The following is a 17,834-nucleotide window of genomic DNA, read 5'->3' as shown; positions in this document are numbered from 1 at the left end:
CAGTTTCACACTTTGATAAATACCTAAGGCACTGAGTCATCTGTTTTTTCTTTGATAAGCTGGCTCTCACCCATAAAGGAAGCAGAAAATGAGAAAACCTCTTTTTTTTTTGAAAACAGATTTGGGATGCTCTCCTCTTCTGGGTTTTGCCCAAGAGGCTTCCAGCATTTCCTGTAGCACACTCGGTGGGCATTACTGCACATTCACTGGCACATCACTGGTCTGGGGAGTCAAACTTACTGTAGAATAGTCACTTGGATGTTTATTGAATGTTCTGTTTCATTGGAAACAAAATTGTGGTTAACAAAATAAAAATAGAGAAAACATAAATTACAAATATCAAGAATGAAACAAGGGACATCACTCCAGATCCTGCAGTCATTAAAAGTTTACTCTTAAAAATTTAACTCAGAAAATGACCTTTTACTCAGTAACCACTGACTACCAAAACTCAAAAAATATTAAAATAGGTAAGTTGAACAGTTCTATAATCATTAATGATACTGAATTCATAATTTAAAATTTTCTAAAAAAGAAATTTCTAGGTTTCTATGGTTTCACTGTAGAATTATACCAAACATTTAAAAAAGAATTTACACAATCACTTCCAGAATATAGAAGAGGGAGGAATATTTCCCAACTCATTTTATGATCTCAAAACCAATAAAAATTAGCTGGGCAGGGTGATACATGCTTACAGTGTCAGCTACTTGGGAGGCTAAGGTGGGAAGATTAGTTGAACCCAGGAGTTTGAAGCTGCAGTGAGCTATGATTGTGCCAGTACACTCCAGCCTGAGCAACAGAGCAAGATCCTGTCTCTAAAAAATAAAAATATGGTCTCAAAACTAGACAGACAGTACATCAAAAGAAAACTAGGGGTCAACATATCTCATAATCTTATGTCTAAAAATCTCAATATGGCAAATAAAATCCAGTAATGTATAAAAAAGAAGTATTCACCATGAACAAGTAGAATTTATTCCAGTAATGCCAAGTTGGTTTAATATTTGAAAATCAATCAATGCAATTCACCATATGAACAGGCTAAAGGAGAAAAATCATGTGATCATATCAATTGATGCAGAAAAGGTATTAGATGTAATACAACACCTACATGTGAAAAAAAAAAAAAAAACTCTCACCAAAGGAAGAATAGAGGGCACTTCTTCAACTTCATAAAAAACTAAAAAGCATTTACAAAACCCAATAGCTACCTTCATACTTAATGATAAAAGACTATATACTTTAAGATTAGAAACAAGGCAAGGATGTCCCCTTTCATCGCTCTTATTCAACAAAGTACTGTAAGTTCTAGCCCAGTAATAAGGCAATAAAAAGAAATAAAGGGCATATAGTTTGGAAAGGAAGAAATAAAATTGTCCTTATTTGCAGATAGCATGGTTGTCTATGTAGGAAATCTTCAGTAATCTATAAAGCAAACAAACAAAACGCTAGATGTAATGAAGGCCTTAGGATACAAGATAAAAGACGCAAAAAGCAATCACATTTCTATGTAGTAATAAGGAAAATGTGGAAACTGAAATTAAAAACACAACACTCCTTCCAATTACTCCAAACAAAATGAAATAGGTATAAAATTAACAAAGCTTTTAAGTATGCTGAACATTACAAAATGCTGATAAAAGAAATCATAGAAGACCTAAGTAAATGGAGAGACATACTGTGTTCATAAATTTGAAAATACAACATATTAAAGATGTCAATTCTCCTCAAATTGATACACATGTTGGATGTAATGCCTATCAAAATCCCTGAAAGAACTGTTGTTTTCTCCTGTAAACACAGATAAGCCTATTCTAAATTTTATCTGAAAAGACATAGGATTTGTAATAGCTAAAATAATTTTGAAAAAAGGGGTAAAGTAGGAAGATTCATTCTATTCTATTTTAACTATTATTATACAGTTACAATCATCAAGACCATGTAGTACCAGTGGAGCGATAGAAATCTCAGTCAATGGAACAGAAATAGAGAGTCCAGAAATAGACTCACAAAACATATCCAGTTGATGTTTAGCAGAGGTGCAAAGGCGATTAAATAGAGGAAAGATAGTTTTTTCAGCAAATGGTGCTAGAGCGACTGACCATCCATAGGCAACAGACCTCATCCTAATTTTCATATCCCATAAAAAATTAACTCAAAATAGGCCAGGCCTGGTGGCTCACGCTTGTAATCCCAGCACTTTGGGAGGCCAAGGCGGGTGGATCTCCTGAGGTCAGGAGGTCGGGACCAGCCTGGCCAACATGGTGAAACCCCACCTTTACTAAAAATACAAAAATTAGCCAGGCATGGTGGTGGGTGCCTGTAATTTCAGCTACTCGGGAGGAGGAGGCATGAGAATCGCTTGAACCCAGGAGGCAACCTGGGTTCAATCGCTCAACCAGGAGGCAGAGGTTGCAGTAAGCTGAGATTGTGCCATTGCACTCCAGCCTGGGTGAAAGAGCAAAACTCTGTCTCAAAAATAATAATAATAATAAAATAACTCAAAATGGTCACAGAATTAAAAGTGTAAAATGCTTAGAATAAAAACATAGGAGAAAAATCTTTATCTAAGACTAGGTGAAGAATTCTTAGACTTGATACCAAAAGCAAAATCTAAAATGAAAATTGATAAATTGGACCTCATCAGAATGGAAACTATTTGTTCTGTGAAAGATCATGTTAAGGAGATGAAGAGACAAGCTACAAATTTGAAGAAAATATTTGCAGACCACATAGCTAACAAAGAACTAGTACCTAGAATTTATATATTTCTCAAAACTCGAGTAAAAATTTTTAAAAGCCAGTTAGAAAATGAGCAAAAAACATGAACAGACATTTCACTGAGATAATATGGAGGTGGCTAAAAGCATATATAAAGACGTTCAATATTAGCCATTCAGGAATTATAATAAAAATCACAATTAGCTGTTGAAACACATCTACAGAATGACTAAAATAAGGAATATTGATAGCACCATATGCTGATGATGATGCAGAGAAATTGGATCACTCATACATTGCTGTTGGGGATATAAAATTTTTCTAGTCACTCTGGAAAAGAGTACGACAATTCCTTTCAAAAATATACAGGCATTGACTATACGATATAGCAACTGTACACCTAAACATGTATCCCCGAGAAATAAAAACTTGAATTTACTCAGAAATCTGCTCATGAATGTTCATATGTAATGCAAAATCTGGAAACAAATATCTTTCAGTAGGTGAACAGTTAAACAAAGGTGTTGTATTCTATATCAAAGAATACTATCCAGCAATGAAAGGAATGAACTATTGACACAAGCAACAACTTGGATGAATCTCAAGGAAATTATGCTAAGTGAAAAAAGCCAAAATAAAGAAGTTACGTGCAGTATAAATCAATTTATACAACATTCTTGAAATAAGAAAATTATAGAGATGAAGAACAATTAGTGGTTGACAGGAATTATAGAAGGAGGGAGAGAGGGAAGTGGTGGTCCCTCTAAAAGGGCAGAATGAGGGATCCTTGTGATGGAATCGTTCTATACATTGATCACGGGTATATTCACAAGGATCTACGTGTATGATAAAATTCCATAGTACTAAACACACACGCTCACCACACAATGAGTCGCATAAAACTGGTAAAATCTGCATATGGTCAGTCAACTGTATCACTGACAGTTTCCTGTCTGATATAGTTACGCAAGGTGTTACCACTGAAGCAAATCAAGTGAACAGATAATTTCTTACAACTCCATGTAAATCTACAAATATGTCAAAATAAAAAGGTTTTAAAAGCTATGAAAAGACAACAAAAACAAAAGCAAAACCTTACATCTGATTAATGCTTTTCATTTTGTATCTAACATCCCATTTCAAGAAAATGAAAAATATGCCTGAGCACAGGGCTCACATCTGTAATACCAGAGTTTTAGGAGGCTGAGTTGAGAGGATTGTTTGAGCTCAGGAGTTTGAGACCAGACTGGACAACACAGTGAGACTTCATCTCTACTAAAAAAAAAAAATTAAAAAATTAGTAGGCATAGTGACATAAACCTGTAGTCCCAGCTACTCCAGCTGCTGAGATGGGAGGATTGCTTGAGCTTGGGAAATCAAGGCTGCAGTGAGCCATGATCACTCCACTGCATTCCAGCCTGGGTGACAGAGTGAGACCCTGTCTCACCAAAAAAAAAAAAAAAAAGAAAAAAAAGAAAATGGAAGATACTAATGATTTCCTCCAAATGGAAAGTACTAAATATTTTCCTAACCAATTGGATGGATCTGGCAATTGGGGGATAGAAAAGTTAAGTGATTTACCTGAACCAGAGGACTTAATAATGGGTTCATGAAGCTTAACATTAAACTAAAACTAAACTTTACTTCAAATCCATAAATATGTTTATGTTTTTAAAAGCTTTGAAACAAAGTAAGAATATACAATAAAGCCATCAAATACGTTCTTCCAAATTGTTTGTAAGCCTTGGGAGATTGCCTGCTGTGTCATACAAATCAGGTTTTATGTAGATCCTTTACAGAAAACAGTTTCTGGAGATTGGCATAGAATGGAATGTAGGTATTGCCAGAAGGAGAGCACTAGCAGAACTTAATTTCTGTAGTCAATATTTCAACATGTAAGAAATAGGGGAAAGTGCTTGTAGGAGCCATCATAGGTAAGAAGAAATTTGAAGAATTTGGGCATAAAATTTAGGATATACCTGGAAGGAATCTAAAACAAACAAAAAACAGTCCACATCTAGTTCTTTGGAAATTAGATTTTAATTCTGTTGTTCTTATGCTTTTATGTTTTCAGGTGAATCTCAAAGAGACAAAAGACCAAATTCCAAGCTGTCAGTAAGGTGAAATGGAAGAGGAAGGCAGTGTCTTGAACTGCATTGTCCTGGTCCAGAGCCACCAGCCTCATGTGGGTGTTTGAATTAAACTTAAATAAAACTAAAATTCAGTTCCTCAGTTGGACTAGCACATTTCCAAGGCTTGACAGCCACATGTGGCTAGCGGCTATCATATTGGACAGTAAAGAAAGACATTTCTATCATCTCAATAAAGCATTGGACAGCTCCAATCTATATAATGAATGAAAACACTAAAAAGTCCCAATTTTTTTTTTTAATTTAAAAAGGACACCATTTTACAAATGACACATCGATGGATTCATATCCATAGCCTCCTAGAAGAGCAGGGTGGAGAAGACCCCGAATACTATCCTGTCAAAACACTTGTTACAGGCTTGAATCTTTCTTGTTACTGATGTCTAAACAGCCATGGCAAATAATTTTTATTTTCTTCATTCTTTTGCCGGTTAAAAGAAACATTTCTTTTATTTGAAACTGTTCTATAGCTATAAGTCTTTCATCATTCTGGCTGCTTACTGCTGAATTCCAGTCTGGGTTCCAATTTATCTATATCTCTAGTCAAATAACTTGTGCCAAAATTAAGTGCCATGTTCCAGGTGCGCAGAATATAGGAGGTTTATCTTTTTCCTTAGTCTAGATATTATGCATCTACTTTTACAGACTAAAATCACAAGTTGACTTTTAGTAACCCCACCAATAAATTTATTTGCAATTAGTTTTTAGTTAAATAAAACCCTGCAATCTGGTTAATGTGGCCCATTGCTCCATCTAATTGAAACGTTGTGTGTCCTATTTATAACCAGTCTACTTTTGAATACTTCTGGTGGAAAAATCATTAACCCTGATTTTATATCAGATGCAAAAGCGTGGCCTCCAACATCTTTCTCCATGTAACTATTAAAAGTGTTAATAATGGGGTCCAAGCGTATGTCTTTGGGAAACTCTACTCCCCACCCACCCCCCAGCCTAAGAATCATCACAGTTTGGACCCAACCATTCACAAGTCAGTTCAACTATTTAGCTGTCCAGTCCATGCTTCTCCATTTTGCCCACAAAGACATACCTAGTCACCCAGCTTTTATTGAATCTCCTGCAATACGCTTCACCTTTCCCAGAAAGTTAAAAAAGCAGAACTGAGATTTTTTGTTTAAGATGACTAGGGAGGTTTTTACAGCACAGAAGAGAACTCACCAACCCTGGAGAAGGGATGATGCACTTGAAGTATTGGCACCCCACAGTGGGCAACTCTAGCATTTCACGTTAAAACAATGCTGAAAACAATTTCTAATGGTTCTATTGATTTTCAAACAATAATAAAGGGTAGGGTCCTACTTAATTGAATCCTAATGAGTTTGGTATTTACCACAGTCCGTCACCAAATGCACTTCTTGTACAAAACTCTTTGAACTTGCTGTGGGAGAGGAGAACTCTCTGTTCTAAATGCTGCCTTCACCACTGTCCAGCTGGGATGTTTTAGAACCAAGTCTCTCACTGACTCATTCAGTCCAGAAACAAATAGAGGAAAATTTGCAGCACCTGATCCCAAAGCAGGTGGCTATGCATTAATGATGTAGCACGTGCCAAGATCCTGAAAGGAATGGTTCTAGAGAAATATTGCAGGACCTAATTATTTTTAATGTCTCTCCTAACTTGAAAGTGGTTTGTGTACATGACTTCAATTTTCAAAAGATACAATGCAGCCTGGGACTTTAAAACAGGGAATCTGGCAAATTAACTAATAAGTGTATGAACACATGTTGAAATGGCAAGGCACTAAATAGGCTGGCTTCTCCTACAGAAAAGAGTCATTTAACAGGAGTCAGTTAAGTCAATGTTTACTTTCCACGTAAGGAACTTTACATCACAAATGGGAGAAATAATTCAGCAGGTAGAAAAAAAGGGAAAAAACTTTCCAAGCAGGGAAACTTCCTTGGGTTGTTAATGTTTCTTGTTAAGATGGGTCTTGGAAAACAACCCATCTCAGATCAACATTCCTACATGTGGAGTTTGGATTCTTTTTTTCTTCCAGTAATCTTCAACTACAATGGGATCTATCTGACTATTATTGCAATGTTTAAAAACAGTACTGATCAGATTCCTTTCCAGTGGGACAACCAAGAAAAAATGGACTGCTGAAAAAAAAAATCTAGAGGTAAAATATGCAGACCTGTCAAGGGATGATGGCCCGAGCAGAGGTCTATGGACCGAGGGGATGGCAGCATGCAGAATAGAAGTAGGAGTGGAAGAGGCCCGGCACAGTGACTCACGCCTGTAATCCCAGCACTTTGGGAGGCTGAGGCAGGCTGGTCACAAGGTCAGGAGATCGAGACCATCCTGGTTAACATGGTGACACCCCGTCTCTACTAAAAACACAAAAAATTAGCCGGGCATAGTAGCGGGTGCCTGTAGTCCCAGCTACTTGGGAGGGTGAGGCAAGAGAATGGCGTGAACCTGGGAGGCGGAGCTTGCAGTGAGCCAAGATTGGGCCACTGCACTCCAGCCTGGGTGACAGAGTGAGACTCTGTCTCAAAAAAAAAAAAAAAGTAGGAGTGGAAGAAACAAAGAAGGCCTGAAGCAATAGGTATATCTGGCCTGAAATCTTCCTCTCTAGCTAATTCTTTGTGGCTAGGAGTGCTCACATCCGGGAAAAAAAAAAAACAAAAAAAACCCTGGAAAACAAAAAACCAACCAAACAGAAAACCCAGAGTGGATGTATGAACCATTATAGCTATCCTTCTCTTAACTGTTTGGTGCAGAACACTAAAAAATATAAAGTTTGGGAGAACATGTGTCCTATTACGTAATTCTTGGTATAATATTAATACTACCACAACATTAAATGGGACACAGTGTTTTCACAACAATATGATATTAGATGATACTCACAATGACCCTGTAGGATGGAGGATAATTATTTTTCCCACTTAACATTAAAGGAAAATAAGGCCCTGAGAGGTTTCATGTTGCCTAGAATCCCCCAAATAAGGAAGCGGAGCAAGAACCAGAACTGTTGGATGCCTGCTCTGGGTTACTTTTCAGGACTCTGTGTCACCACCTATCTCATGAGTGCTCTCCAGAGATACCCGGACGCACACAGGGACAGCCACACATTTGCATGCACGGCCCCTTGTGAATGGAGACAGGCTCCATACTGCTCACTTTCTTTCATTCCCCTGCACACTTAAGTTACTGTACCACAACACCCAAGACCCCCCAACATGTGCTGTTGCCCTGAAACTGGAGTTACTACTATATAAGTGTTCTAAACATAGGCTATTGTCCTGCCAGAAGACTCCTCCTCTGGGAGTCCCTGGAGCCCCCTCTAGGCTGTCCTGCCAGTGTGTGAGCCTGTACTCTCTTCCTCCTTAATATGCCTGGTAGCCTTCATCACACTACAGGCCTATAGCCAGCCCTGCTGAATTCAGGCTGGGGTTGGGGTGAATAGTAAGAAGAGTATCACACAGAGATAGGATCTAGAGGTGTAACATGTAAACAGAAGTGTTCTTAGTGTTCACAGTCGGAACTCAAGGTTATATTTTCCCACAGAATCCATGTGACTGATGCTGACTTGCTAATGAGATTCAATAATTCTGGGAGTATTTAGTAGCATCTTGGTTAAACATCTGCATTATATAGGGCTTCAAGGATGACTGCAAGACCCTAACCATCATTGATAATATTGTTTCTATGGGGAAATGTGTTTGAAGTTTCGTATGACAGCCCTCCAAAGAAATTCTAGCAAACAAACCCATTTGAAAGTTGGGCACTGCCTGTCTTCCAGCACTGGCTGTTCTCCCTCTCACTCTCTCCAACCTAACCTGTTTTCTTATATCCAACTTCTGGGTGGCCCATGAAGGCTATTGCTCCTCTGAGGCCACAGCAGGTGTAAGCAATGAGGAGAAGGTGAAAGTGCTGGGGAACAGTCCCAGCAGTAGAGGGAGGGGGGCAGGAGAGGGAAGAAGACAGAGTTGGAATCATCACCAGACAGCAAACATTGGGTGAGCCTACACTGTTGATAGGACACAGGCTTTTTACGGGAATCTAAAATGCAACTTTTAGGCAGGATGAATGTCATTAAGAAAGCACAGGCCGTGGCATGAGGCAGGCCTGGGGTACATTCTGTTTCTTATTAAAAATGATGATCTTAAGCTAAATACTTAACCTCTTAGAAGGTTCAGCTTTCTCATCTCCAAAATTGAGACGACATTACTTCTCAGGGTGTTTGTGAAGATCAAATTGTGTAAATGTGATTATTACAATCTTCAGCAGCATTTACCAGACAGTTGAATGTTGCTTTTTCTTACTTTCCTCCTTTGAGAGATGCAAGGTGGTACAGGGGAAAGATTAGAGTAAAAATAAGTGGATTTGAATTCTAGTCTCAGAATCAACCCCATGGAGGGGCTGGGCACACTCTCCGAGTTACTGTCTTCTGTGCTGTCCTCTGAGGACTTTTGCTGGTAGCAATGAATCAACATATGTGTGAATGGCTGCAATGAGCTGGTCAATAATTATCATTCACTGTTTTGACAAATGTGTGTTGAGTGCCTACTATAGGCCTGGCGCCACCTTAGAAACATGAATCCAGCCAAGGAGAAATAATCAAGGCAGGCCTGTTCTGTTAGATGGAGTGATCAGGGAAGTTTCTCTGAATAGATGAGATTTGAGCAGAGACCTCAGTGAGGAGTGGGAGTGAGCCACAGAAATATCCAGAAAGAGGCATCTAAGAAGAGGGAATAATCAGAGTAAAGGCCAGGCTGTCAGGGTCTGCTAGGGCCTGATTGAGACATTGCAAGGAGGTCCTCAGGGGTCTTCATGACTAGTGCAGGGAGCAAAAAGTATGGGCACGGGGCATGGACAGGGGAGGGCAGGACCAATGGTCTGTTGATATGTGCTCTGCAAACCGCTGGAAGGACTTTCTCCTAACTTCTAGGTACTCAAGCCCTTGGAAGGTCTTGAGTGAAGGAGTTTACATTGTGAAAAGCCACATGGAGAAGAAACTGGTAGCCCAAGGGTGAAGGCAGGCAAGCACTGGGAGGTGACTGTGGTCAGCAGAGCAGACCTGAGATGAGGCTCTGGGCCTGGGGTGGTGGCAGTTGGGGACACAGATGTATTCTGACTCAATGTGTGTGTGGTGAAGTAGAGCCAATTGGGTGTGCTCATGACGTGGTGGTGGAATGTGGGAGAAAGAAGGAAGCAGAGAAAGAATCAAATTGTTGTCCTTTTTACTCTAAAGATGATGCTAGTTACTGCAATGGGAGAATACTGGGGGAGAAATGGTTTTTGAAGGAAAGTCAGCATTCTATTTTGGATTGAGTTTGCCACATGCTACATGAATTGAGTTTTCTATATGCTTTTGGTGTCTGTGTGGAAATGTGATGCAGGCCCTGGAGCTAGGGAAGGGTGCAGGCCTAGAGAGAGACACTGGGGAGGCCTCCACAGAGTGATATGGGTGAAAGCACAGGGCCGGACATGGTCATCTGTGGAGTAGGAATGGAGGAAAGGGAGGAGAACCCACCATGACACTGCACAGCATTTTAGAGGTCTGAGGAAGGAGATGCCACTCCATGCATGGAAAGTGACATGACAAAAGAGGCCCTTTCTTACAAAAATTCTTTGTGTCCTTTTTTTTGTTACTGCTTTTGTTTTTCTTTTTATTAAAATAATTATGAAATATTTCAAAACATGCTGAATACTGAAAATAAAATAACTGACACTCCACCCAGATTTCTAACTTGTGAACATTTTGCCACTTTGCAATTGATGGCAGGCAAATCCCAAAATTGGGGCTCAGCCCAGGAGGGTTCTTGACTTTGCTCAGGAAAGAACTGAAGAATGAGCTGGCAATGAAAGAAGGCAAGTTTATTAGAGCAACAGTGTATGGCAAAGTGGCTGCTCCCCAGAGCAGGGTTCTTTCATAGGCAGAGCTGCCCAGAGCAGCAGCAGCAGCAGCAGCAGCAGTCCTTATGGATTGCTGGCTAGCTATATTTATACACAGTCTTCGTTATATGCTATTTAAGGAGTAGGTTATTCAGAATTTTCTAGAAAAGGGGTGGGGGAGTTCCTGGAACCATATAAGGAAACTTCTGGGTTGTTGCCATGGCATTTGTAAACTGTCATGGCACTGGTGGGACTGTCTTTATGCTTATTAGCAGTGAGGGCAAGAGGGTCACTTTTGTTGCTATCCGCTGGTTTCGGCTGGTGTCTTTGCTGCATCCTGCTTTGATTAGTAGGGTCATGATCGGTGCTCGGAATATAAGTCCTGCTGGTCTCCCATCTCACTATATTCATTTCAAAGACAACTAAAGTCATGCCCCCAAACCGCTAAAGTCATGCGGTCCAAACCGCTTCTTTTTCCTTCTCCAGGAGGCTTTAGTGAGCAATGAGAACAGTGCCTGGTGTGTGGGAAGTTCTCAGTGAAGGTCAGGAACTGTGGCGCCGCTGGAGGTGGTCTTTACCATTATGATGATATTGAGGTCAGTCTTTCCCATGCATTTTCTAGCTCTTACTGCATAAAGGTATCTCCATAACAATGCACAGTACAATTTTGTATGTTTTTCAAATTAATGTAAAGGGTAAATTTTTGTATTCTTTTGTATCTTTTTTTAATTCAACATTGTGTTCTTGAGTTTTTTTTTTTTTTTTTTACTGTAGCAAGTCAGACACAGTTTAGAATATAACGGTAATAGGAGGAGGAAACAAAATCTTTGCAGAGAGAGCAACATGAAGGTGCTTTGGAAGCCCCAATATGCCAGCTCTCCAGATGCCTTTTCTCCATCCCCTGCTCTTTTTCATTCCTTAACTGCAAAGCTATTGGAGAGAAAGGAGAGGATCATTCAATGTTGTGACAATATTAAATGCTAGCTTCACAGACCCTCAGGACAAGAAAGACCATGTGCCCTATAGCCCCCAACTGGAACATGCTTGCTCCCCTTCCCTGATAGGAGCCCTCCCATGGGTTGGGGATAGAGGTTCTGACCCTGGGGCAGCCCCACTTGACTCATGAACTGATGAGCATATTCACTTCTGCAAGCAAAGTAAAACTGAACATAGGAGCTATGCTTGCTGGTTACTGTTACTGTTCTATCCTCTCATGTTCCAATTACCTCTTTTATTTTTATTTCAGAGCCTTCACCGAACAGGCAATGTTTGGATTTAAGCTCTAAAGAAATGCAGGTAGACAGAGGGCACATTCCACATAAGAATCCAGGCATGGATTTTGAAGTAGCAGCTTGACCACTGTCATTGCAGAGCTTAGGCTAGAGGACAGGATTGGTTTTCAAGACTCTGATACCCATCTGTGACAGACGGGCAACTTCTGTGCTGGCAGTATCAAAGCAACCCCACCAAGAGACACGCTGGCCTCTCTGTGGCTGGATGGTTTCCATGGTGTGGGGGAGTTTTGTTATTGTTGCTTTTGTGAAGTTTAAGTTCTTGTGGCTTTTTCCCTTTGCCAGCCTTGCTTAAGACCAAAGGAGAGCTGGATGGTAAAGACTCCCCTGAGAATGGGCAAACGAGTTGCAGATCAAGTATCCTGGCCACAAAGACAAGGAGAGGATCAGGCCCGAAGCTCCAGGCCTGGACACGCCCCGGAGGAGAAATGAGCCTCGTGGTTAGTAACAGAGCCAAGCTTCCTTTGTCTAACCTTTCGCTGGAATTAAGAGCTTTTCACATTTCAGTTGACTTGAGAACAGACAGGGAGCCCCAAATCAGAAGCAGATTGGAGCTGGTGAGCAGGGAAATGACACTTCAGCCTCTAAAACGCAGCAGCTCTGTTTGTCCCTTGCTTCTGACCCCAGCAGCCTCTTTGCTCCCTCTCTTCTCCCTACTCCATAGAAGGCTTCTCTCCCCTTCTCTGAGACTCTGCTCTTAAAGCAGCAGGTGCCCGATTCCAGTGGACTCTCTCCACTGTGGAATGTATCAGAGCAGGGGCAGCACCTTCCCCAGCAACACACCCTATCACCTTTGATCCTTTGCCATTTGCACTATGGGTTTTCATTTGACCCAGCGGTCTGAGTTTGCTCCAGTATTTGTGTTTTTGTGTTTTTCTTTCCTATGCTTCTCTTTCCCTCCCTGCCCCTCCTTTATGCTGTGGCCTAAGTACACTGAGCTTCTTCCTTTGTTTGTATGACAGAGGATTCCTTTTCATTCGTCAGGATGTTAACTATGCATACCACAAAAAAATTGAAGCACAAAGCACCAAAAGAAAATGAAGATAGAAAAATCTAGTGGATTTGGAGGTGAAAGAAAGCAAACTTGCACCCAGTTTTCCAAACCTTAAACAGATTTATTTTCTTGGCCAAGTTCTCAGTTACTCACCACAGTGCTCTTATTTTGTGCCTCAAGGGATAGGCAAAAAGCTCTTTCCTGCTCAGCACTTACTTAATACTTAAAAGAAATACCCTTTCTTTCTCTAGCAATGCACTTGTTTTAACAGTGGAAATACAGGGCACCCAAGAGGTCAAACTCTCTAGAAACCTGGGGCCAATACTTACAAAGACTGATGCCCTGTGGGTGACTCAAAAACAACCCTGGAGTCAGAATTAACAACATTCTCCACATACTGTTTAAATGGTCACTCTTTGTCAGGAGCTGGGTACTTTCTGAAAACTGTTTCTGTAGCCTGCGGCAAGCCTGGGCTTTGGTTGTGAGGCCCAGAGGCTTAGCTTCTTCACCCAATGCTTGCAAAATGTTTATAGCAAACTCAAATACCTTCCACAGATTACTCCCATTCTCCATCTGATTTCTTCACCAGCTGTTCTCTGCCTGATTCATTGTGCAGATTTCTTTCTAGTGTTGTGGATATTCCCTAGTTACCTACCATAATGCTTGGTCTTACAGGTGTATAGCATGTTTGCAATGCTTGTTCATATGCTCCCAGGGAAAAAAAAATCATAAAATATAATCTTATGTGTAATTTTCCTGAATACTAAATGCTTTGCCCTAAACTTGAAGATAGTGTATCAGTTGAAGGATGCCAGGAATTACTTCACCTCATGTATATGTACCTGTTACAGATTATATTCATTTTCAAATTAATTTCAAAGCCAGCTGTTATTTTTGCTAAAAGTCATCCTTGATGGTATGCTTTAGCAACTACCATTTAAAACTTAGAGACAACTAGCCGTGCAATATGAGGATTTAAAAATGCAGTACTTGAGTTGTTTATTGTGGGTTTTACATTTTGAGCTTAAGTCTCCTTCTTAATATATTGTCTGTAGGCACTTAATAAAATAGATCTTTAAGGAAAAATAAAATAGCTTTACTATATATGTAACATGCATATTATAAATAAAGTGTTGGAACTTTTTGGTGATTTAGTTTTCCTTTATAAATACGGGCATGTAGGTATTCCTACAGCAATACTAACATTGAAATACGAGTTTCTATGCCATGGGGGCTTTTTTAGAAGTTCTAGCTGGGAATGTAAGCATCTATGTAACCTTAATCCAAAAAGAGGGCTCCTCTAACTGGGAAGGTTGCCTGTTTGGACCGTCGGATGGCTGAGGAGAATGGGTCGCCTGCCTGGCCTACTTAATGAGCTGAGTCCACTCTGACAGTCAGAGCTGGGAGAAAGCATCTTCTTCAAAGTGAGCACACATCAGATTCCCCCTCCATTTTTTCCCTTACTCATGTGGAGGGGTTAGGACTTTGAAGAAGTCAGGTTTTTCTTTTTCTTTATTTCATGGAATACGTTAAAAAACAGAAAGAAGTATCGAACCTATGCCATGTACTTCAAATGAAGCTTCCACAGAAAATTTGAAACCCTAAAAAGGTTCTTCATTTAAGCCACAGAGAGACACAAATATTCAAACTCTCCTAAGTAATGCTAAAAACAAGGCAGCTAGTGTTCCAACAAGGGCAAGACCTCACTTGTTTGTTATGTAGGACCCTTATCACTGTCAATTTTAGCTTGATGAAAGTACTACCATGTGTCACAGACAATGCCATATGTTCATCAAAAAAACAATTTATTTTCCCTCTGGGCATACAGAAAGACTACATTTCCCAGTTTCTTTTGTAATTAATTTTGGGCTATGAGTCTGAATTCTATCCAAAGAAATGCAAGTGAAGGTTGTGTATACTACTTCCAGGTCTGCCAGAATCCTCCCACCTCCTGCACAACCTTTAACATCTCTCTTCCCCCTTTACACTAACCCTGGGACCACATAGTGAAGATGGTGGCATTGCAAGACAGGAAGAGCTTGGGTTCCTGAAAGACTGCATGAAGCAGTCCCCTTTTTTCCATGACTATCTTGGTCTGTGACAGGCTGCAATGGTTTGAAGGTTTGTCCCCTCTAAAACTCATGCTGATATTTAATTGCCATTGTGATGGTATTGGGAGGTGGGGCCTTAAGAGGGCTCTGCCCTCATAAGTGGACTAATGCCAGTTATCAGGAGTAGGCTCACTCACTTCTGCTCTCTCTTTTTCTTGCTCTCACTTTTGTTGGCCCTTCTGCTTTCCACTATGGGATGACAGAACAAGATGTCCCACATAAGATACTGGCACCTTGATCTGGGACTTCCCAGCCACTAGGCTACAAACCAATAAAACTCTGTTTATTATATATTACTCATTCTTTGGTGTTCTGTTATAGCAGCACGAAACAAAGACACAGGAAGAAGCAAGAAATCATTACTTGAGATTTAGCGGTTGTTGTAGCAGCTTGCATCATGTACCCCAACGAATGCATACCATATTATATCATGTATGTTCTCTGTGTTGCTTATTTCCTACCTCAACCATAGCCATCATTTTAAGACAACAATTAAGAAAACTCCTTTATCTGCACAAGTGCTCTGTCTCTCTACCTGATGTTTTTCCCCTCCTCCCTCTGTTCTTGCCTCCCCAACACACACACATACCCATTTACCTTTATATAATCCTTTTCCAGCTTTGAAATGGCAAGCGGGCCTAACAGGAAAGATTCTTTGGATTTTAAGAACATCCATCAGCTTTACTGCTATAGACAAATTTCTTTCCTTAATGAGTTTTGTTTTTTGTTTTTTTTTTTGAGCAAGGAATATGGTTTGCCCTCTGAAGTCATAGAGTGAATTAATTTGAGGATTTAGCTAGCTACTTGTCATGAACCTGAATGAGAGAAAGGGAGAAATTTTTCATCCACTGCTCACTGTCATTTTCTCTCCTTCTGACTTCCACTTTCCCTAAATTGTTGCATTAATCTAGCCACTCCCCAGTCATCACCACTACAGTGTGAGTTCTTTTAGGAAAAGAACCAGTGCTTATTCATTTTTTATCCCTGATACTTGGAACCTACTAGGTAATCATTAAACGTTAGCTATTATTTAGCAATAAGATTAAAACCAGGAGACAAATGGCCTTAACTCTGTCAAGAGGCAGTAGGACAATTTCGTGGGACTAGGAGTGATGCCAGGCCCTTCTCTTAAGTCTGTCGCTATTTGAATCCCAGATTTGAAACTTAAGGGAAATAAAAATTTAAGTATACATGCCACCTCTTAATTTCTTTTCAAATACTTTTTTTCATTTTTCCTTCTCAAAAAAGGAGAAGGAAGAGGAAAGGAAAGAAAAGTAAATGAAAATTTTTAAGAGGTCCATTTTCTACTCAAGGATGAAAATGCACATCCCAAATGCTTATAAAATCTACCCCTTCCAACTACTGTTTATAATAAGCAGTGTAGTAGAGTTAGGTGGAGGAAAAGGAAAACTATGGTAGTAGAAATTGCATTTGCTGAGTACACATGTGAAACGACAGTTACCACCTTCATTCTCCAGTGTTAGGTTTTGAAATCGCCATAGTAGGAAATCCACTTTAAATATGTTTGCCTTTGGATCTATTTTTAAATGAAAAAAAAAATCTCAGTGCTTCTGGTGTATGTATGTAGTAGAGACAGTCTTAACCTAAGATGTTAAGAGAGGAGTCTGGGGACAATTTATCAGTGTCAGAACCCAACACCAGAAGAGAAATCGGAGTGACCTTTTAACAAAGGTTCTATTTTTAAGATCTAATTGACTTAGCCACTGGGATTATCTCTGGTATTAAAAGTTATTTAAGGGGGTTGCTCCATGAAATTCAAATAGGATGTATGGTAAATCATTACTAAGATGATACAATGGCAGCAAATATTTACTGATGCAAAACAAAAAGCTCTAGAATACCTGAGGGTTTGCCTGCTATGGTAGTGAGTTATGAGGGACATCACAATCAAGGCATGCTTGTGGCTTTTTCCTTGCAGCAAAATAAATAAGCAGCCCTTGGAGTCATCAGAACACCCAGGAGGACTTATAACCTATCCCTTCGGAATATTTAGTCAAACTCTTGCTTACTGATTCTTCACTTTCTCTGAATTTCCCACTCTTTCCTTTCCTAACTTGTGTTTCTAGCTGCCAACTCCCATAGTATTTCCCCATTTCCTTAACACTCTCATTTTCAATTTATTCCTTCCCCATATCTCTTTCAGGATTTCTCCACGTTCAACAATATGAGATTACCTCAGATAGGAGAGTCCACTGATGAGTGTACGTGTGAGTAAGGTAAAAAACAGTGCTCTACAAGGTTCCCTTGCAGCTCCTCAGGGACCTCAGTCTATCAATCATTTTCTCCCCTACATATGCAATTTCTCTTTCCTATTACAATATAACTAGGGTGAAGTATCTTCTATCTTAAAAGACAATGTTACCCAGACTTTAAACCAACAAAAGATCAAAAGGGACAAAGAAGGCCATTACATAATGGTAAAGGGATCAACTCAACAAGAAGAGCTAACTATACTAAATATATATGCACCCAACACAGGAGCACCCAGATTCATAAAGCAAGTCCTTAGAGACCTACAAAGAGACTTAGACTCCCACACAATAATAATGGGAGACTTTAACACCCCACTGTCAATATTAGACAGATCAACGAGACAGAAAGTTAACAAGGATATCCAGGAATTGAACTCAGCTCTGCACCAAGCGGACCTAATAGACATCTATAGAACTCTCCACCCAAA

The 17,834-nt window shown here is 39.9% G+C and overlaps 1 protein-coding gene and 1 long non-coding RNA gene across 19 annotated transcripts in view; one reads left to right on the top strand and one right to left on the bottom strand.

Moving 5' to 3' along the window:
- Positions 1–17,834, bottom strand: part of SUGCT (succinyl-CoA:glutarate-CoA transferase) — a 903,812-nt gene that overhangs the window by 198,737 nt on the left and 687,241 nt on the right. The gene's annotated exons all lie outside the window — the stretch shown is intronic.
- Positions 9,988–14,172, top strand: LOC112267984 (uncharacterized). Of its 2 annotated transcripts, none has more exons than XR_007060292.1 (2): positions 9,988–11,332; positions 12,314–14,172. It is a non-coding gene; the product is annotated as an uncharacterized LOC112267984 (long non-coding RNA). The 2 variants fall into 2 exon arrangements; XR_002956505.2 differs by having other exon boundaries at positions 11,983–14,172.

The sequence above is a fragment of the Homo sapiens genome, chromosome 7 (assembly GCF_000001405.40).
Source record: "Homo sapiens chromosome 7, GRCh38.p14 Primary Assembly".
NCBI lineage: Eukaryota > Metazoa > Chordata > Mammalia > Primates > Hominidae > Homo > Homo sapiens.
This window is presented reverse-complemented; position numbering and strand designations above follow the sequence as displayed.